General features: G+C 58.6%; 1 protein-coding gene and 1 long non-coding RNA gene across 9 annotated transcripts in view, besides 1 other annotated feature; both read right to left on the minus strand.

The window, feature by feature from the left end:
- Positions 1 to 20,335, minus strand: part of P2RX5-TAX1BP3 (P2RX5-TAX1BP3 readthrough (NMD candidate)) — a 33,512-nt gene that overhangs the window by 10,140 nt on the left and 3,037 nt on the right. The window contains exons 2-11 of the long non-coding RNA NR_037928.1: positions 18,612 to 18,762; positions 17,924 to 17,995; positions 17,573 to 17,648; positions 17,395 to 17,491; positions 17,038 to 17,118; positions 16,460 to 16,598; positions 15,594 to 15,727; positions 14,980 to 15,073; positions 8,864 to 8,946; positions 6,558 to 6,752 (exon numbers count right to left, since the gene is read on the minus strand). This is a non-coding gene — a long non-coding RNA (P2RX5-TAX1BP3 readthrough (NMD candidate)). The remainder of the gene's footprint in view (positions 1 to 6,557; positions 6,753 to 8,863; positions 8,947 to 14,979; positions 15,074 to 15,593; positions 15,728 to 16,459; positions 16,599 to 17,037; positions 17,119 to 17,394; positions 17,492 to 17,572; positions 17,649 to 17,923; positions 17,996 to 18,611; positions 18,763 to 20,335) is intronic.
- Positions 195 to 20,335, minus strand: part of P2RX5 (purinergic receptor P2X 5) — a 50,609-nt gene continuing 30,468 nt past the window's right edge. For 4 of the 8 annotated variants that reach the window (NM_001425082.1, NM_001425084.1, NM_001425083.1 and 1 more), the window contains 11 exons: positions 18,612 to 18,762; positions 17,924 to 17,995; positions 17,573 to 17,648; positions 17,395 to 17,491; positions 17,038 to 17,118; positions 16,460 to 16,598; positions 15,594 to 15,727; positions 14,980 to 15,073; positions 8,864 to 8,946; positions 6,558 to 6,752; positions 195 to 845 (listed from right to left, as the gene is read on the minus strand). In NM_001425082.1, the coding sequence (NP_001412011.1) occupies positions 836 to 845; positions 6,558 to 6,752; positions 8,864 to 8,946; positions 14,980 to 15,073; positions 15,594 to 15,727; positions 16,460 to 16,588 (645 nt within the window). In that variant the 5' untranslated portion in view covers positions 16,589 to 16,598; positions 17,038 to 17,118; positions 17,395 to 17,491; ... (1 more) ...; positions 17,924 to 17,995; positions 18,612 to 18,762 and the 3' untranslated portion in view covers positions 195 to 835. The remainder of the gene's footprint in view (positions 846 to 6,557; positions 6,753 to 8,863; positions 8,947 to 14,979; positions 15,074 to 15,593; positions 15,728 to 16,459; positions 16,599 to 17,037; positions 17,119 to 17,394; positions 17,492 to 17,572; positions 17,649 to 17,923; positions 17,996 to 18,611; positions 18,763 to 20,335) is intronic. The other 4 variants (NM_001425085.1, NM_001204520.2, NM_001204519.2 and 1 more) reach the window with 3 other exon arrangements.
- Positions 15,576 to 16,484: an enhancer, noted in NCBI's record as "H3K4me1 hESC enhancer chr17:3591902-3592810 (GRCh37/hg19 assembly coordinates)". NCBI's record gives its function as "activates a minimal SCP1, AML or CMV promoter by ChIP-STARR-seq in primed H9 embryonic stem cells {active_cell/tissue: H9 hESC(primed)}" and the evidence as "EXISTENCE:reporter gene assay evidence [ECO:0000049][PMID:30033119]".

The raw sequence follows: 20,335 nt of genomic DNA on the forward strand, positions 1-20,335 counted from the left end.
TTAGCCGTGCATGGTGGTGCACGCCTGTAATCCCCGCTACTCAGGAGGCTGAGGCAGAAGAATCACTTGAGCCTGGGAGGCAGAAGCTGCAATGAGCCGAGGTCGTGCCACTGCACTCCAGCCTGGGCTACAGAGCGAGACTCCATCTCAAAAAAAAAGATGGGTAAACATGAAGAGAAAAAAATCAGGACACGTTTGAAATTGACACCATTTATTGTTTTATGACCAAATAAGAGTGTCAGAGAATACATATCTTGGGCAGGTCCCAGAAAGCGTCTGCCATCTCCCCCACTTTAATTCTGTGTACTGGCCTAAGGGCAAACAGCTGGCAGGAAGGTGGTGTCTTTAGGAGAGAGAGTACTTGGATCCACTGGAGAGTATGCTCTGAGGGAAGCTGCGGCACTTGCAGAGGGGAGTGGGCTGGAACCAAATGGAGCCCTTTTCCGGACACGCACAATGCTATTCCCAGTGAGGTAATCTAGGAACTCTACAGGGCACTGCGGTCCTTAGCTGAGGTGCTCAAGGACTCCGGAAGGAAGTCATGTTCCCCATTTACAACCCGTTCCCTAGTGCGGGAAGCCAGCCACGGAGAAAGGAAGAACTGACGGCAGGGGGTGGGGCAAAAAGACAGCCATGATGGGTCCGTCCTGATGACCCCAGCATCAGACGTGGAGGTCACTTTGCTCTGTGATGGCTGGTCCCTGTGATGTGGCATTGATAGCACCCAATGTACAAATTTCCCGTTGGGCAGCATCCTGGGATTCCCAAAGGCATGGGATCACTGGGTGCTAGACGGCTGGGTTTAGGACAGGGCCTGAACGTAAGCAGAGGCAATTCACGTGCTCCTGGAATATCAGAACAGAAAGGAGCTCTTGAGAGGCTGGCACTCTCATCTTCCCAGTGAGGCAACCAGTGCCCAGGGAGAAGGGCCTTCCCAAGTCTGAAAAGAGCTACAGTTCATGCTTCACTTCTCCCCATTTAAAAGCCAGTTTCCGGCCAGGCGCGGTGGCTCATGCCCATGCCTGTAATCGCAGCACTTTGGGAGGCCGAGGTGGGCGGATCACGAGGTCAGGAGATCGAGACCATCCTGATTAACACAGTGAAACCCCGTCTCTACTAAAAATACAAAAAATTAGCCGGGCGAGGCGAGCGCCTGTAGTCCCAGCTACTCGGGAGGCTCAGGCAGGGGAATGGCGTGAACCCGGGAGGCGGAGCTTGCAGTGAGCCGAGATCGCGCCACGGCACTCCCATCCAGCCTGGGCGATAAAGCGAGACTCCGTCTCAAAAAATTAAAAAAAAAAAATACAAAAAAAAAAGCCAGTTTCCATCAGAGTAATGAGCTCCCACTCTTGCACCAAGATTATGCAGAAAAATGGTGGGAGCTGGGGGCTGTGCAAAAAGCAAGGAAACTGGAAGAGTGTGACACTGTCTGGAAGCTGTCAGGCGATCCCTGGCTCTTCTGAGCACGGGGCCCCTGATGGGCAGTCAAGAGGTCACTGGAAGGCTTGGCCGGCCTTGAAGAAACAATGAGGTTAAATCCTCTAAGGAAGCAAAGTCTAAAGGGGCAACCTTGCAGCTAAAGACCGTCAACTTCATTAAACAAAAGCCTCACCAAACCTGGCTCCTGTCTGCCGCCTTCACCCAGGTTCTCCGTTGCTCCTTCCCATATCAAAGCGTCTCTTCACACCTGTGCTTCTCTTACCTGGAATGCTTCCCCCTCACCTAGTTAGGCTGCTATAACCTTTCAGATTTCAACTCATAGGTCACTTCCTTGGGGAAACCTTCTCTGGCTACTACTCGCTGACCTCTCCGACACCCCATTCCGTCTGTGATGACGGGTGTGATCATTTGGTAAGGGTTCAATGCCCCATTAGACTGGAAACCCTCGGGGGCAGGGATCGTGTCTGTGTTGCTCATCTCTGTCTCAGCAGCATCTGGTCCAACACCTGACATGTCACAGGGACTCCATAAATATTTCCTGGCTGAAGGAATGACTAACTGTAGGAAGACATTTTCCTTTTTCTAGAGACGGAGTCTCGCTCCGTCGCCCAGGCTGGAGTGCAGTGGCACGATCTTGGATCACTGCAACCTCCGTCTCCCGGGTTCAAGCAATTCTCCTGCCTCAGCCTCCTGAGTAGCTGGGACTACAAGTGCACGCCGCCACGCCCAGCTATTTTTTTGTATTTTAGTAGAGACAGGGTTTCACCATGTTGCCCAGGCTGTTCTCAAACTCCTGAACTCAGGCAATCTGCCCGCCTCGGCCTCCCAAAGTGCTAGGATTACAGGCGTGAGCCACCGTGCCCGGCTAGGAAGACATTTTTGTTGCAATATGAAACAAATAGTATGACTATCCTCAGGTTCTGTGGCTTCTGCCAGCCATTTCGAAGTCTGGTTAAAATCAGCAGCCATGACCCCTGCCTTTTTTGCTTCCTCCCAAACCTAAAAGTCACCAAGTTATAAAAATGCAAGGCTTTGCGTCAGTGAAGAAGTGACACACCTAAGTGGATCACCTGGATCTTCACTTTCTTTTTTTTTTTTTGAGACTGAGTCTCACTGTCGCCCAGGCCAGAGTGCAGTGGTATGATCTCAGCTCACTGCAACCTCTGCCTCCCAGGTTCAAGCGATTCTCCTGCCTCCGCCTCCCGAGTAGCTGGGACTACAGGCATGTGGACACCATGCCCGGCTAATTTTTGTATTTTTAGTAGAGATGGGGTTTTGCCATATTGGCCAGGCTGGTCTCGAACTCCTGACCTCGTGATCCACCCGCCTCGGCCTCCCAAAGTGCTGGGATTACAGGTGTGAGCCACTGCGCCCAGCCTGGATCTTTACTTTCTAATCAGAGAGCAGTATAGGCTTGTTGCAGGTTCCCTTCCCAGAAAACCCAAAGCGAGGAAGTTGCTTTGCTCTAGGAGGGTTCCTGTTCTGGAGACCATGTCCCTGGGCCCCTGACATCCCTCTCCAAAGCCTCAGTGGAGGGATGCTCTCACCACCCCCGCCTTTCTGTGTGCAGAGAGAACCCCTCCAAAGAGGATGCTTCCAGGGAGCCGCCCAGACAGCACTGGGACTGGTTGAGTGAGGGCGGCGCTGGAGCACTTTTCTGCCAGGTGGCTCGGGCAATGGCGAGGGCTGAGCTCCAGGTTTCTCACCTTGGGTTTACGGGGAGACAACTCACATACAACGGGGTAGGAGAAGAGAGCTAGTCAGCTCCCAAGCCCAACATCGAAACGTACTTCATGTCCATTTTTGACAGGGGAGACTGGGTCTTAAGCGCCAGCGTCAGGAGAAGTTCATTACCTGAGTGAATGTGTAAGAAACCACACGAGTTTTCGGCAAAATCAGGGAGCCTCCTGCATTAGTAACACTGGCTGCCTCTGGGGAACCGGGAGGACGGAGGTTGCTTTTCACTGACTATCCTTTGCACCTTCTAAACTTTGAATCATGTAAGTATTACCCAGTCAAAATATTGTAACTTAAATCAGCTGAGCATACTGCTGCTTTCAGGGTGGGGGAGGAAGCCTCTTGGTCTCTAGGCAGCATGCGTGTAAGTCTGACCTAGAAATTGGCTCCATCCACCAAAGCTGGCCTTTTTCCCCTGAGAACCAGGGCTTCTTAAATGTCACTGTGCACACAGATCACCTTGGAATCTTGTTGAAACACAGGTTCTGATTTGGGTGGGGGGCGGGGGAGCTGGGACCTGCATTTCTAGCAGGCTCCGGTCCCTGGACCCCACTTTAAATAGCAAGGCTTGGCCGGGTTTGGTGGCTCACGCATGTAATCCCAGCACTTTGGGAGGCCAAGGCTGGCGGATCACCTGAAGTCAGGAGTTGGAGACCAGCCTGGCCAACATGGTGAAACCCCATCTCTGCTAAAACTACAAAAATTAGCCGGGCATGGTGGTGGGCACCTGTAATCCCAGCTACTTAGGAGGCTGAGACAGGAGAATCGATTGAACCTGGGAGGCGGAGGTTCCAGTAAGCCAAGATCACGCCACTGCACTCCAGCCTGGGTGACAGAGCGAGACTCTATTTCAAAAAAATAAATAAATAAAAAGCAAGGCCCTACAGCGATGGAGGCAGAGAGCAGCTGAGGGTGCGGTAGGTGGGTGTGGCCGTGGCATAAGACAGGTGGGGACGGAGGGAGGGGAATGAGGGCCTCCCTAACTCAGCCCGTTTACACCTGCTGAGTGGCGCCATCCTTGATCTCATTAGCACTTCAGGCCCAGCCTCTGAGGAGGGGTGGGGAGGGCAGGAGCTCGGCAGGGTCAAGGCGACTGTATCTCCCATCTGGGCAGGTCCATATTCCCCGGGCGTCCCGAGGCTGGTGGAGTCAGATGGAGCAGAGGCCTCTTGCCTCCCCTTCCCCATCTTACCTAGACTCCCCAGGAGCTGGCTTCCCCACTAAGAGCCAGCTGCCTCCTGACTGCTCCAGTCCTTTCCTGGTTGCCTCCATGGCCACCTTTAAATTTTATCCTTGGGGCAAGCCCAAATGTCCCCTTGGGTGTTGTCCAAGAGCTTTCTCTGAGCAACCATCATTCTCGGCAGGGATTTCGGAAACCCTGCTAGAGGCTAGAGGAAGGCCAGCTGGAGTGGCTGGGCCTGGCTGTGATGTCTCTGTTGGCTTTGGAGGAATTACACGCGGGCCCCTCTCCCTGAGGTTAGGTCAGCATCTCATTTAAGCACCTCTTGGTGGGCCCAGCACACAGCATGCGTCAATACATGTTTACAGCTCATATGAATGAGTGAAGGTGCAGCCAGGTTGAGGGAAAATCCAAACACTCCACTTCCGCTCAGCACCCTGGCCTGTCCCTTTCCCTGGACACCTGCTCCAGGGACTCCTCTTCTAGGTCCGAGCCCCTCTGACCATTGGGAGGCTCCCCTCCTCACTCAGCAAAAAGCTTGCAGCAAGATCCCAAAGTTCAGGAGAGATGGCTGTGCCTGGAAGCCCCTGTCTCATGCAGGCACAGACTCCTCTACCCAGTTCAGAGCTGCGGGTTGTTCTGGCCCCAAAGTTTTCAGCGACACTGCTGGTAGCCAGCAGCCCTGGCTACATCTCCACTGTCTGCAGCTGCTCCAAATTCACCTGTGCATTCTGCAAATGGCCAGACCTGTGTGTGGGCGGGAGGGGGCGCACAGGGCAGAGAGGACTGTCGGGAGCCGGTGGGTGGGCCAGCCTCACCAGAGGCAGCAACGCTCCTGGCAGCACTGCAGGCAGGCAGAGCATTCAGAGAGAGCACAGCCTGCCAGGGTTCCTGCGGAAGCCCAGCACGCATAGATGCTCAGGCAGAAGCCTCTGGAGTTGCCCCGGCAAGGAGTAGCAGCAATTGCGGTGGCAGCTGGAGCGTGGGCCTGTGAGTCCACAGCCTCCCACAAGCCTCAGCGAGGCTCAGCCAAGACAAGCCAGGCCGTCGGGCTTCCCGCTTGCTCAGAATGGGAGCTCAAGTGAGCACCCAGGAAGTAAGAGTCAGCTCAGGGAGCACAGGAGGGCTGCCAGGCTCTGGGTCTACCCCATACGGACCCCTAGCCTCCAGCCTCCTTGCCCCACTGCTGCAGCCCCTGCCTCTCTCTCTCCTCACTCTTCTCCAGCCCAGTCTATTTCTTGCTCCTTCCCTGCCCAGGCCCAGCTCCCAGCTGAACGCTGCCAATTCCTGAGTCAGCAAGGAATGAAAGCTGGGCCAGGAGAAAGGCCACCAAGGTCAGTGAGTACCTGGGGTGTGGTTTGCAAGAGAGTCACAGAACCCCAGTCTGACAGCAGGAGGTGTCCAGCCCCCACTGGGAGGGGAAAAAAGGGAAAACAAGGCACAGAAAGGGCCAGGCACCTGCTCACCGCACAGGTACTCTGCAAGGCAGACGCAGAGCAGGCCCGAGACAGGTCCCCCACCCAGCCAGACGCCCTCCCCACGCAGGCTGAGCCTCGTCTGCAGAGAAGCCAGCGCCCCCAGGAATCGCGGCCCAAGGACCCCCCTGGCAGCACGGCCAGCACCCTCCTGAGGCCGGGGCAGCCCCAGAATCGCACACAGAAGAGGGGCTGAGGGGGGGTCATCTGAGCACAGAGACGTTCGGCAAAGGCAGAGTAACTCAGGAGAACCTCATCCTACAGACACTGCCGGGATTCAAATCTCAGCGCTGCCATTCACCGGCTGTGTGACTTGAGCAAATTACCGAGCCTTTCTGTGCCTCAGCTTCCTCATTTGTAAAATGGGGAAGATCGGTGTCTATCTGATTCAGTTGCTTACATGAGTTAACAAATACGGAGAGTACAGAGGGGTTCCAGGCAGAGAGTCAGTGCTGTGGAGCAGCGCGCTGTTATCATCTGAGCGCCGGCATGGCACAGCAGGCACCCATGGCCATCCAGGGTCTCGGGAGCTAAGGGGGACCTTGCGGGGTAAAGCACCAGCCCCTTCCCACAGAGGCTCTCCCAGTTCCTAGATGTCCTGCCTTGTGGCCAGCTCACACCAGAGCAGAGGGGTCCGCTGGAGCTGCCAGGCATGAGAAGCCCCAACTGGGGACCCCTCTCTGCAGGACCCAGCTGTCGGGCTCTCTGCCTAGCAGTGGCCTCACCTGTGGGGCTCCAGGAGCTGTGGGCACACAGATCCGTTCCCCTTCTGACTGCTGCTTCCACGCTTCGCCTCGGGTGGCTCCTGCAGCTCCTGCTGCTCCGGCATCCCCAGCAGCCCTGGCCCAGATGTGAGCTGCTCAGATAGCCCCAGCCCCGATGCCTCGTCCTCGGCCTCCTGGGAACTGTCTTCTAGGCCCCTGGACAAGATACAAGCTGTTCACCTGGGACGGCCCTGCAGGGTGCCTCCCCTCCTAGACGGGCGGAGTGGGCCTTGAAGAATCCCTCGCCCTGCAGGCCGCCACCCTGCTTCCTCCAGCCGGTGTCCTCCACCCTGCTTCCTCCATGCGGCTCCCTCCACCCTGCATCCTCCACCCTGCTCTCTCCACCCTGAGTCCTCCACCCTGCTTCCTCCACGTGGCGTCCTCCACCCTGAGTCCTCCACCCAGCTCCCTCCACCCTACATCCTCCACCCTGCATCCTCCACCTGGCTTCCTCCATCCTACGTCCTCCACCCAGCGTCCTCCACCCTGCATCCTCCACCCTGCATCCTCCACCCTGAGTCCTCCATCCGGTGTCCTCCACCCTGCATCCTCCACCCTGCGTCCTCCACCCTGCATCCTCCACCCTGCATCCTCCACCCTGCGTCCTCCACCCAGCGTCCTCCACCCTGCATCCTCCACCCAGTGTCCTCCACCCTGCATCCTCCACCCAGTGTCCTCCACCCTGCATCCTCCACCCTGCATCCTCCACCCTGCGTCCTCCACCCAGTGTCCTCCACCCTGCGTCCTCCACCCTGCATCCTCCACCCTGCATCCTCCACCCAGCGTCCTCCACCCTGCATCCTCCACCCTGCATCCTCCACCCTGAGTCCTCCACCCAGTGTCCTCCACCCTGCATCCTCCACCCAGTGTCCTCCACCCTGCATCCTCCACCCTGCGTCCTCCACCCAGCGTCCTCCACCCGGCGTCCTCCACCCTGCTTCCTCCACCCGGCTTCCTCTACCCTGCTTCCTCCATCCTGGGTCCTCCACCCTGCAGGCCACCACCCTGCTTCCTCCATCCTGGGTCCTCCACCCTGCAGGCCACCACCCTGCTTCCTCCATCCTGGGTCCTCCACCCTGCATCCTCCACCCTGCATCCTCCACCCTGCGTCCTCCACCCAGCGTCCTCCACCCTGCATCCTCCACCCAGTGTCCTCCACCCTGCATCCTCCACCCTGCATCCTCCACCCTGCATCCTCCACCCAGCGTCCTCCACCCTGCATCCTCCACCCTGAGTCCTCCACCCAGTGTCCTCCACCCTGCATCCTCCACCCAGCGTCCTCCACCCTGCATCCTCCACCCTGCATCCTCCACCCTGCGTCCTCCACCCAGCGTCCTCCACCCTGCATCCTCCACCCAGTGTCCTCCACCCTGCATCCTCCACCCTGCATCCTCCACCCTGCGTCCTCCACCCAGCGTCCTCCACCCTGCATCCTCCACCCAGCGTCCTCCACCCGGCTTCCTCTACCCTGCTTCCTTCAGCAGCACAGTCAGGACTGTGGTTGGGGTTCAGCCTGTGGCCAGGGTCAGGGCGCACGGCTATAACCCAGGGCTGGGGTTCAGGCCATAGCTGGAGTGCAGTAAGGCGAATGACCCAGGCAGACCCTGCACCCACTGTCCCAGGCTGTGGGGGTGCTGAGGGAGTACTAAGGTGTCTGTCCCAATTCCCATTCTGATCCCTGCTTCTCCAGAAGGCCTTCCCCAAAGGCCGAAGCCACAGCCCCTTCCCCTTCCCGCCCTCCCACAGTCATCAGGGTTCCCCACCCACGCTGTGCTCTGCCGCTGTGAACACGCACACCCCACCGAACCCAGGGCCCAGGAAACTCCGGAAACAGCCTCTGCATGGAAGAAAATATCCGCTTTTCTTTCCTTTACTACTCCAGCTTCCCTCAGCCCCGGCGCACCAGGACCACCAAGTCCAAGAATCCCAAAACAGAAGTGCTGCAGACACCACTCGATTGGTAAACCAACTCTCTCATCTCCCAGATAGAGAAACCGAGGCCCGGGGAGGCCTGGGACTTGTCCAGAATCAGGCGGAGCCTGTGAACTCCGTCTCCCGCCCTGTGGCCCACAGCGCCCTCTCCTCCCACTGCTGCCGAGGCCGAATCCGGTTCTGTAGAGCATGTACTCAGAACACTTCTCCTCCCCGGGCCCTCCAGCCCCTGCCTCCCACCCCAGCCATCAATATCACATCAGGGCAAAGGCTCGAAGCCACGGGGGTGCTCCACAGGGCTGCCCTCGGGCCGCCGGCCTGGAAGCGGAACTGACCTCACTTCCTCGTACTTCTTGTCACGGTAAAACTCTCTCTTTTTGATGAGGTAGATGAGTACCAGGTCGCAGAAGAAAGCACCCTGCAAAACAGGGGTTCCTGATTCAGAATCCTAGACCTCTGAGAGCACTGTTCATTTAGGGCACTTTGCCCCTTCCATCCTGCAACAGCCCCTAAAGGTGGCATCACTGTCCCCATTTAACAGATGAGGAAACTGGGCTCAGCAAGGGGCACCCTTGTCCGACACCACAGAGCTGGTCCATGGTGGAGCTCAAGCTGGACTGGAGCTCCCCCGATCCCACAGGCCAGGCACTCCCCGACCCCGCACCACCCGGACCCCATCCAATCGTTCCTTCAACACATTTGCTGGGCACCCAGCACGTGCCAGTGTCTGCACCGAAGTACGGAGAGGATCTGGACAAGAGAGACCTCCTGGGGACTCTCCCTCTGGTGCAGGAGACAGGCGTGTCGATGACGACCCACATAGGACTTCACTCAGCCTGGGGAGGGTCCCTATTCAGTCCTTAAGGACTAAAGAGGAGTTTATACAAGACAAAGAGGTGGAAGGACATTACGGAGGGAGGAACAAGCCTGTCACATCTGGGAAATGCCGCAGGGCCTGTGCGGGAAGAGGGAGATGCGCTTCTGGAGAAGGGGATGGGGACTGGCCTGTTAGGCTTCTTAGAATGTTTCCGAGGCATTGGTCCTCATCCTTTAGGTGAGGCGGAGGCACCACAGCCCGAATTTTGGCATTTAGAAAGATCCCTGTGGTAGTCAGTGTGAGATAGGTTGGAAGGGTTCTAACCAACAAGGACGCTATGGTGCTAGTCAAAGAAAGATGATGGGTGCCAGGTGCAGTGGCTCACGCCTGTAATCCCAGCACTTTGGGAAGCCGAGTCAGGCGGATCACCTGAGGCCAGGAGTTCGAGACCAGCCTGGCCAACATGGTGAAACCCTGTCTCTACTAAAAAATACAAAAATTAGCTGGGCGTGGTGGCGGGTGTCTGTAATCCCAGCTACTCAGGACGCTGAGGCAGGAAAATCGCCTGAACTCGGGAGGTGGAGGTTGCAGTGAGCCAAGATCGCACCACTGCACTCCAGCCTGGGCAACAAGAGCAAAACTCCATCTCAAAAGAGACAAAAACAAAAGCAAAAACAAACAAAAAAGGAAGATGATGAGGTGGACGACCCCAGCTCAGCCCCTCACACCCAAAACGTGCCCTACGGACCAGAGCGATGCAATTGCCCCTCTCCTCCAGCAGAGGGAGACTCCACCCACAGCACAGGGCAGGGTTGGGGCCTGAATGATAGAGGAGAGTGGAGGTGGGAAGGGTTGGTGGAGGGGCCAACAAGGAATCTTGGTCCCCTGACCCTGGGTGCTGCACATCCATCCCCTAGATGCCAAAAATGTTGCTTACCAATTCGCTGCTCCCCAGAGACCAACCCCAAACCTAACCTTGACCACCACCTCTTCCTGCGCCATTACTTCCAGTTCACAGGTCTGTCCCCAGAGGGTGCTCTGATTTTACCCACATCACAAGAAAGTGATGAATGGGCTGGGCGCAGTGGCTCACGCCTGTGATCCCAGCACTGGGAGGCCGAGGTGGGCGGATCACCTGAGGTCAGGAGTTGGAGACCAGCCTGGCCAACATGGTGAAACCCTGTCTCTACAAAAATACGAAAATTAACCGGGCGCGGTGGCGCACGCCTGTAATCCCAGCTACTCAGGAGGCTGAGGCAGAAGAATTGCTTGAGCCTGGGAGGCAGAGGCTGCAGTGAGCCAAGATCATGCCATTGCACTCCAGCCTGGGCGACAGAGTGAGACTCCGTCTCAAAAAAAAAAAAAAAAAAAGAAAAGTGATAGCTGAAGGTGGGCCTTCTGTAAGAAAGTAACAGGCGCAAACATCCAGGACCCTCCCAGTGACTGTCTGCAGGTAGGGATCCATGTGGAGCTCACTTTTCTTGACCCCCTCCCAGGAACGTGGTCCTGGTATGGGACACAATTTTCCAGGTTTTAACAAAAGTCACCCCTGGGTCCCAATGGACTCCTCCAGTGGGGCTGTCTTGTGTGCACAGGGAGAGGAATGAGGGAAGAGGCTGCCAGAAACCTGGGAAAGGGACCTGCCGGGATGGGCACTGACCACTCCCATGGCTCTCAAAAACTCCAGAAGGACCACGGGGCAGTGTAGACTCAGGACGCCTTTCCCTGCCCTCAGTCCCTGTGTCTCCTCCCCTGTGAGCCGCTCCCGGCCCCACTGAAGGGCCACCTCTAAGGAAGAGTCACAGGGCTGCCTTCCCTGCCTCTCAGCCTTTCAGTCGGGTGGTTCTCAGCCAGCTGGGATTTTGCTCCATCACAACTGCAGGGGAGGGTGCCCCTAACATCTAGTGGGTAGAAACCGGGAATGCTCTTAAACATCCTACAATGGGCTGGGCGCGGTGGCTCACGCCCATAATCCCAGCACTTGGGGAGGCCAATGCCGGAGGATTGCCTGAGCCCAGGGGTTCAAGATCAGCCTGGCCAACATAGTGAGACCCCATTTCTACAAAAAATTTAAAAATTAGCCACAGGTGGTGGTGCACCTGCAGCCCTGGCTAGTGGGGAGGCTGAGGTGGGAGGATCGCTTGAGCCCAGGAGTTCAAGACTGCAGTGAGCCATGATCATGCCACTGCACTCCAGCCTGGGCAACAGAGCAAAAACCCTGTCTCTGAAATCAACATCCTCAGGGTCTGGGAAAATATAGTATCGACCAGAAAAGTGTGAAATATGAAATAGAAAACAAACAAAAACCTCCTACGACACCCAGCACAGCCCTCTGTGCATTGTGGAATGTTTAAGGGCATGTCCAAGGATGTGTGTAAGACCACAACACAGAATTCTCCCACCCAAAAAGTCAGCAGCACCCAGGCTAAGAAACTGTCTGCAGCCTAATCCTGCCCCCTTTTTTTTTTTTTTTTTTTTTTTTTTGGAGATGGAGTTTTGCTCTTGTTGTCCAGGCTGGGGTGCAGTTGTGTGATCTGGGCTCACCGCAACCTCCTCCTCCCGGGTTCAAGCGATTCTCCTGCCTCAGCCTCCTGAGCAGCTGGGATTACAAGCATGTGCCACCACACCTGGCTAATTTTTGTATTTTTAGTAGAGGCAGGGTTTCTCCATGTTGGTCAGGCTGGTCTCGAACTCACAACCTCAGGTGATCCGCCACCTCACCCTCCCAAAGCACTGGGATTACAGGTGTGAGTCACTGCGCCCGGCCTAATCCTGCCCTCTTTTAGCAGAAGTAGAGATAGAGACTTTAGAAGTTCAGGGACTCACCTGGGATCCCAGGGATATCCCAGCCACGCCTCGGCTGGGGACTGACCTAAACCCATGCACAGCTGCAGAGCTACCAGCACATGCCTCCCTGGCTCTGGAAAGAGACTCGGGCTGTCACTGCTACCTGAGGACAGCTGGCAGAGCGTGAAATCCCAGAAAGCCCTCTTTTCCCACGCCTATTCTGATCTTGCCAGCTCTGGTTCTTTCTGGGGGCACTGGGACACGGTCCTCCTGAACAGCAGCCTCCCCCTCCCTGCCAGTGCGGCCGCCGGGGAGAGGGTGGGACGCGGGGAGGGAGGGGAGGTACTCCCAGCACCCATGAGCGCCACCCCAGAGCCCACGTTGATGATGGTGGGAATGATGCTGAACTTCCCTGCCTGGAAGATAGAGACAAGGCCAGTGAGCGAGGCAGGTTGGACAGCGGGGCCCCCAGGGACCCTCCCAGCGTCCCCCTCCCAGCCTGAGAACAGGAGAACGCACAGCGGGGCCCCCAGGGACCCTCCCAACGTCCCCCTCCCAGCCTGAGAACAGGAGAACGCACAGCGGGGCCCCCAGGGACCCTCCCAACGTCCCCCGCCCCCCGCCCAGCCTGAGAACAGGAGAACACACAGCGGGGCCCCCAGGGACCCTCCCAACGTCCCCCGCCCCCCCGCCCAGCCTCAGAACAGGAGAACGCACAGCGGGGCCCCCAGGGACCCTCCCAACGTCCCCCGCCCCCCGCCCAGCCTGAGAACAGGAGAACACACAGCGGGGCCCCCAGGGACCCTCCCAACGTCCCCCTCCCAGCCTGAGAACAGGAGAACGCACAGCGGGGCCCCCAGGGACCCTCCCAACGTCCCCCGCCCCCCGCCCAGCCTCAGAACAGGAGAACGCACAGCGGGGCCCCCAGGGACCCTCCCAACGTCCCCCGCCCCCCGCCCAGCCTCAGAACAGGAGAACGCACAGCGGGGCCCCCAGGGACCCTCCCAACGTCCCCCTCCCAGCCTGAGAACAGGAGAACGCACAGCGGGGCCCCCAGGGACCCTCCCAACGTCCCCCGCCCCCCGCCCAGCCTCAGAACAGGAGAACACACAGCGGGGCCCCCAGGGACCCTCCCAACGTCCCCCTCCCAGCCTGAGAACAGGAGAACGCACAGCGGGGCCCCCAGGGACCCTCCCAACGTCCCCCGCCCCCCGCCCAGCCTCAGAACAGGAGAACGCACAGCGGGGCCCCCAGGGACCCTCCCAACGTCCCCCGCCCCCCGCCCAGCCTCAGAACAGGAGAACGCACAGCGGGGCCCCCAGGGACCCTCCCAACGTCCCCCGCCCCCCGCCCAGCCTCAGAACAGGAGAACGCACAGCGGGGCCCCCAGGGACCCTCCCAACGTCCCCCGCCCCCCGCCCAGCCTCAGAACAGGAGAACACACAGCGGGGCCCCCAGGGACCCTCCCAACGTCCCCCGCCCCCCGCCCAGCCTCAGAACAGGAGAACGCACAGCTGGGCCCCCAGGGACCCTCCCAACGTCCCCCTCCCAGCCTGAGAACAGGAGAACACACAGCTGGGCCCCCAGGGACCCTCCCAACGTCCCCCGCCCCCCGCCCAGCCTCAGAACAGGAGAACGCACAGCGGGGCCCCCAGGGACCCTCCCAACGTCCCCCGCCCCCCGCCCAGCCTCAGAACAGGAGAACGCACAGCGGGGCCCCCAGGGACCCTCCCAACGTCCCCCGCCCCCCGCCCAGCCTCAGAACAGGAGAACACACAGCGGGGCCCCCAGGGACCCTCCCAACGTCCCCCGCCCCCCGCCCAGCCTCAGAACAGGAGAACGCACAGCTGGGCCCCCAGGGACCCTCCCAACGTCCCCCTCCCAGCCTGAGAACAGGAGAACACACAGCTGGGCCCCCAGGGACCCTCCCAACGTCCCCCGCCCCCCGCCCAGCCTCAGAACAGGAGAACACACAGCTGGGCCCCCAGGGACCCTCCCAACGTCCCCCTCCCAGCCTGAGAACAGGAGAACACACAGCTGGGCCCCCAGGGACCCTCCCAACGTCCCCCGCCCCCCGCCCAGCCTCAGAACAGGAGAACACACAGCGGGACCCCCAGGGACCCTCCCAACGTCCCCCGCCCCCCGCCCAGCCTCAGAACAGGAGAACGCACAGCGGGACCCCCAGGGACCCTCCCAACGTCCCCCTCCCAGCCTGAGAACAGGAGAACACACAGCTGGGCCCCCAGGGACCCTCCCAACGTCCCCCGCCCCCCGCCCAGCCTCAGAACAGGAGAACACACAGCTGGGCCCCCAGGGACCCTCCCAACGTCCCCCGCCCCCCGCCCAGCCTCAGAACAGGAGAACACACAGCTGGGCCCCCAGGGACCCTCCCAACGTCCCCCTCCCAGCCTGAGAACAGGAGAACACACAGCTGGGCCCCCAGGGACCCTCCCAACGTCCCCCGCCCCCCGCCCAGCCTCAGAACAGGAGAACACACAGCGGGACCCCCAGGGACCCTCCCAACGTCCCCCGCCCCCCGCCCAGCCTCAGAACAGGAGAACGCACAGCGGGACCCCCAGGGACCCTCCCAACGTCCCCCTCCCAGCCTGAGAACAGGAGAACACACAGCTGGGCCCCCAGGGACCCTCCCAACGTCCCCCGCCCCCCGCCCAGCCTCAGAACAGGAGAACACACAGCTGGGCCCCCAGGGACCCTCCCAACGTCCCCCGCCCCCCGCCCAGCCTCAGAACAGGAGAACACACAGCTGGGCCCCCAGGGACCCTCCCAACGTCCCCCTCCCAGCCCCCGCCCCCCGCCCAGCCTCAGAACAGGAGAAGGCACACGCACCTTGCCGTTCACCATCACGTCAAAGCGGATCCCGTAGGCTTTCATCAGGGTGCGGAACTCCACCCCGGCTGCGTCTCGGTAATATCTGGCAAATCTGAGGGAGACAGGGCCCAGGGGAGGCCTCAGCCTGCCTGGCCTTCCCTCTTTAGGCAGCACTGATGTGGCTGCTCTGGGGACTTAGAAGGACTCCCGGAACCCTGACTCTCAGCAGCCCCAGGAGTGGCTTGCAGACCTTCTCACTGAGCCAAAAACAAAGAGGCATCCAGCTATTTGAAATCCCTGCCAGACATTCCCTGAGGAGCAAGGGCTTCCCCACCCTACTCTGAGCAACCCTTGGGTCGCCAAAGCGCGGATGGAAAGGATGCGGCAGAGGCCGCAAGACTCGGCTTCACGGAGAGAAACAGGCAAGAACACGCGCTCTCCTCTCCCAGAGGCACCCCCAGCTTCAGTCGCTGGCCACTCTGCTGGGGTCCACACCTCTCCTGGGCCATCTGTCCCTGCACCTCCCGCTCTGACACCCACCCCCAGGAAGGGGCCTCAATAGTGCTGGCACCCAGATGAGTGAGTGCCACTGATCATGGTCAGGTCACAAGTGGGCACAAGGCAGCGGTTACCTGAAGTTGTACCCGGAGGAGACAGACTTTGAAAGTTTATTGTCCAGACGGCTAAAAGAATAGTGAGGGTGGCACTCAGAGGCAGCTTTATCAAGATCACAGTTCCATTCAATATTAATTCCTATCACGCCACCCTTGATAAAAGAGAGATGAGGGTCAGCACACACAGCTTTCCGGAGACGGACAGCATCCCAGGCCAGCCCTTCACCGGCACTGGACAATAGGAGGAGGTGCTCAGGCACGAGGTCAGCCCCTCGAGACCACCCTCCAGGAGGCTTAGTCCCCCCATGGAGCGGCTGAGAACACTGCGTCGTCCCTGCCTCAGGGCTGCCTCCCTCGTTCTTCAGGGAGAAGGGAGCCGCACAGGGTAGGCCTCTCTGGACAGGCACTTCACACTCCAGCCAGCATGTGCCAAAGGGGGTCCCTCTGCCTCACCTTCGGCTGGTGCCCCAAGGACTCAGAACCGCACAGCAGGTGCCAGGTCTGGCTCTCACTGACTGCCCGTGGTCTGAGCGCTGCCACAGCCTGCCTGTGTGCCACAGCCAGTTCTGAAAACACTGAGTCCCTGGGGGCAGGTGACTTTGCAGGGCCACCCTCGCCCGCTGCCACGGCCTGCCTGTGTGCCACAGCCAGTTCTGAAAACACTGAGTCCCTGGGGGCAGGTGACTTTGCAGGGCCACCCTCGCCCGCTGCCACGGCCTGCCTGTGTGCCACAGCCAGTTCTGAAAACACTGAGTCCCTGGGGGCAGGTGACTTTGCAGGGCCACCCTCGCCCCACGAGTCCCCGTCCACACCCTCCTCGTCACAGAGCCAGGCCCAGTGCCCCCAGGCCCTCAGGGAGGGCTCCCTGCGTGCACCCCACCCACCTCCAGGGCTATATCCTGGAAGTCGCTCCCGGCCCAGCGGATCACGGAGCCCAGTCGGAAGATGGGGCAGTAGTGGTTCTTGGGGCCAAAGTGGCATGATTTCAGGAAAGATCTGTCCTTGACGTCCATCACATTGCTTCTGGGTGGAGGCCATGGGCAGCCGAGAAATGAAGTAAGACTTGATGTTTCCCGGCCTGGCCAGGAGTCACTCGGTCCCTCACCAACCTGAGTGCTGACAGCTCCCCGCAGCAACACCCCACTTTACAGCAGGGGAAGGGGCGCCCCAGCACCACCCACCGTTTATTCACATGCAGACATCACCCACTCACATGCAGACATCACACACACACGCACACACGCGTGCACGCACGCACACACGCGAACACACGCACACACACAAACGCACGCACACATGCACACAGACACATGCACGCGCACACACGCACACACGCGAACACACGCACACACGTGCACACACGCGCGCACACACACCCCCAGGCAGAGACCCACGGAGGGCCAGCCAAGGCCCCTCATCGACCAAGGCCCACCCGTGGCCCCCAGTAGCCAAGCCCACGTACTTGGAGAAGTTGAATTTGGGGAAACGGATGTGGTTCTTTATGAAAATGGTGAAGTCTTCGGCCTCCTTCAGGAATGGCTCCCTGAAAACCAACCCAGAACAGCCTGTCCAGGAGGCCCCACCCCTGTGCCCCTCCCCCAGGCCTGGGCCAGTGTGAGGCCTGTTCCTTGGGTCCCCTGGAGCCTCTGCCCAGGACAGTTAATTTGCTCATGCTGGGGAGGCCGTCGGGCCTCGCTGGGACAGCCTGACTCCTCCCTCAGCGTGAGGCTCCCAGAGTGGGCAGGACTCCACCCTCAGGCTGGGACCCACCGCACGGGGCTGGGAAACCCCTCAGGGTCCTGAGGCTGCAGCCACTCACTCCGGCCTGGAGCTTGTCTCCAACGGGCACCAGGCAAAGATCTCACAGGTGCCCCTGGCCAAGTTCTCTCTCCGCAGGCAGCGGCCGGTCTTCACTCCTGCAGGGGTGGGACAGGATCAATGCCAGGAGCCTCCCACTCCGAGTCCTCCTTCAGCCCGTGGCCGCTCCAGGCCCTCACCGTTTCCAGCTGTAACCGCTTCCCCAGCGTGGCAGTCGCTGTCCTTGGAGCACGCGCCATCAGGAATGCCTTCATTCTGCCAGGAGAGAAGGGGCACCTGGATGGGGGGGTTCCCCCAGCTCAGAGCCGGGTCCCACTCCAGGAGATAGAATAGGGGTTCTTCTTCGGCCTGGCCCACACACACTCTGAGAACCTACTTCTCCCCCATATAATGCAGGAACCACACCCGGGTGCACACAGCCACCCGAGACCCTTGGAGTGGACAGACACCCTTGCTTCAGAAGAGAGTAGACCCCAACCACTGCCGGTGGCTCTCCCACCCCCACGCCAGGGCCCCTCGCCAAATCAAACCTCAGCACAGACGTTCTGCCGCTGGTTGGGGGTCACAATCAGGTTGGTGACCACAAAAAAGACGTTCTCTCCCTAAGGAACCAGAGAGGCACTGAGGAACCTCCTCCTGCCCCTTAGGGACCACCCCACCTTTCCAGCGTTACCTGAAAGAGGGCGGTCCCTCTGCCTGGGTTTTGGGGATAATGGGGCCACAAACTTGGTATACTCTGCCCATCTGCTCATGGACCCCACAGTCCCCAGGTAGATGTCCATTGATAGATCTCCTCCAGACTCACAAACCCCAACTGCCCCAGGATCCGGGAGAAGTGGGCGCAGGGCTCAGGCTGCCCTGGCCCTGGCCAACTGTGAACAGGCTGGAGAGCTATTCCCAGAGGCAGTGACTTAGAAGGGGGGTTCTCTGTGCCAGCCCACCTGACTCACAATGACCTGAAAGTTCTCTGGGTCCCATTTGTTCTCAGCAGACTCAGATAGAACAGAGCAGTCACCCGCGGCACAGTCAAAGAGGGCAGGGGTTTGGCATGGGAGGTAGGATCTGGACAGGGTTGCTCTCTGCAAGCCCTGGCAGCTGTCTTGGGCCAAGAGAGATGATGGATGGGGGTCCCTGCGTATCCAAGAAGCTTCCCGTGTGACCCACCCGAACCAGGCAGTCCCTGCCAGCCTTGGCCGTGTGCTAGGTGGGGACTCAGACCTGGGCTGGAATGACGTAGTCGGCGACATCCCAGATCCGCTGCCCAAGATCCGAGGTGTTGGTGAAGGCCACGCCCTTGACTTTGGTGATGACAGCACTCTGCAGGGAGGTGTCGACGTCTTGGTAACCCTTCTTTATCAGGAACACCCATCTGTGGGAAGGGGGCCGGTACGTGGGCATCAGCCACTCTGCTGGCTTCGGGGAGCTTCCCCAGGCCTTGGGGTGGGGTAGCAGTCACAGCAACTCCTAGTTGAGGTGGAGCAGGCTCAGGGCTCCACCTGTCCCACCAGCTCCTGGGCAGGGGCCACAGCTCCCACTGCTGACTGAAACCCAGTCCTGCAAGCAGCAGAGGCGACAAGCAACCCTAGAGATGGGGGCCCTGAAGAGGCAAAGACCAGCCGGGCGCAGTGGCTCACGCCTATAATCCGAGGCAGGCAGATCGCAAGGTCAGGAGATTGAGACCATCCTGGCTAACACAGTGAAACCCTGTCTCTACTCAAAAAAAAAAAAAAAAATACAAAAAATTAGCCAGGCGTGGTGGTGGGCGCCTGTAGTCCCAGCTACTCAGGAGGCTGAGGCAGGAGAATGGCGTGAACCCGGGAGGCAGAGCTTGCAGTAAGCAGAGATCGCACCACTGCACTCCAGCCTGGGCGACAGAGTGAGATTCTGTCTCAAAAAATAAATAAATAAATAAATAAAAGAGGCAAAGACCACTGTCCACTCAGAGGCCCCAAGTGGACAAGCCTGGGCTGAAGCCACATACTGGTTTGGTGACCCCAGGCAAGCCAATTTCCCATACATAACATGGGGTGACAGCGCCTCCCTCTGGGGTTGTGATGGTGCCTAACCTGAAACCAATCACGAGGAGACCTCAAACAAACCCAAACTGAGGGGCATTCTACAAAATAAGAGTACAGGCCAGGCACGGTGGCTCGCGCCTGTACTCCTAGCACTTTGGGAGACCAAGGCAGGAGGATCGCTTGAGCCCAGGAGTTTGAGACCAGCCGGGGCAACACAGTGAGACCCCATCTCTATGAAAAACAAAAAAGTAATCTAGGCATGGTGGCACCAGCCTGTCGTCCCAGCTACTCGGGAGGCTGAGGTGGGAGGATCCCTCGAGCCTGGGAGGTCGAGGCTGCAGTGAGCCATGATTGTGCCCAGGTGACAGGGTGAGACCCAGCCTCAAAAACAACAACAAAAAAATGAAATAAGAGTACAAATCCCATACTTGTTGACACTAAAAACGCAAGCAATAAAAGAAAAAATAGGTAAGTTGGACTTCATAAAAATTTAAAATGTTCATGCATCAAAAGACACTCTCAAGAAAGTGAAAAGACAACCCACAGAATGGGAGAAAACATTTGAAATAATGTAGCTGGTAAGGGTTTAGTATCCAGAAGATACAAAAAACTCTTATAATTTAACAATAAAAAGCCAAATAATCCAATTTAAAAATGAGCAAAGGATTTGAATAGACATTTCTCAAAAAAAAAAAAAAAAAAGAGAGAGAGAGATACACAAATGCCCAATTAAGCATATGAAAAGATGACAAACACCATTGGTCATTAGGGAAATACAAATCAAAACCACAATAAAACACCACTTCACTTCCACTAGGATGGCTATCATTTTTTAAAAACCCTACAGATAACAGGTGTTGATGAGGTTGTGAAGAAATTAGAACCCCCGTATATCACTGATAGGGATGTAAAATGAGGTAGTTA

This window comes from Homo sapiens, chromosome 17 (assembly GCF_000001405.40).
Source record: "Homo sapiens chromosome 17, GRCh38.p14 Primary Assembly".
In the NCBI taxonomy this organism is placed as follows: domain Eukaryota; kingdom Metazoa; phylum Chordata; class Mammalia; order Primates; family Hominidae; genus Homo; species Homo sapiens.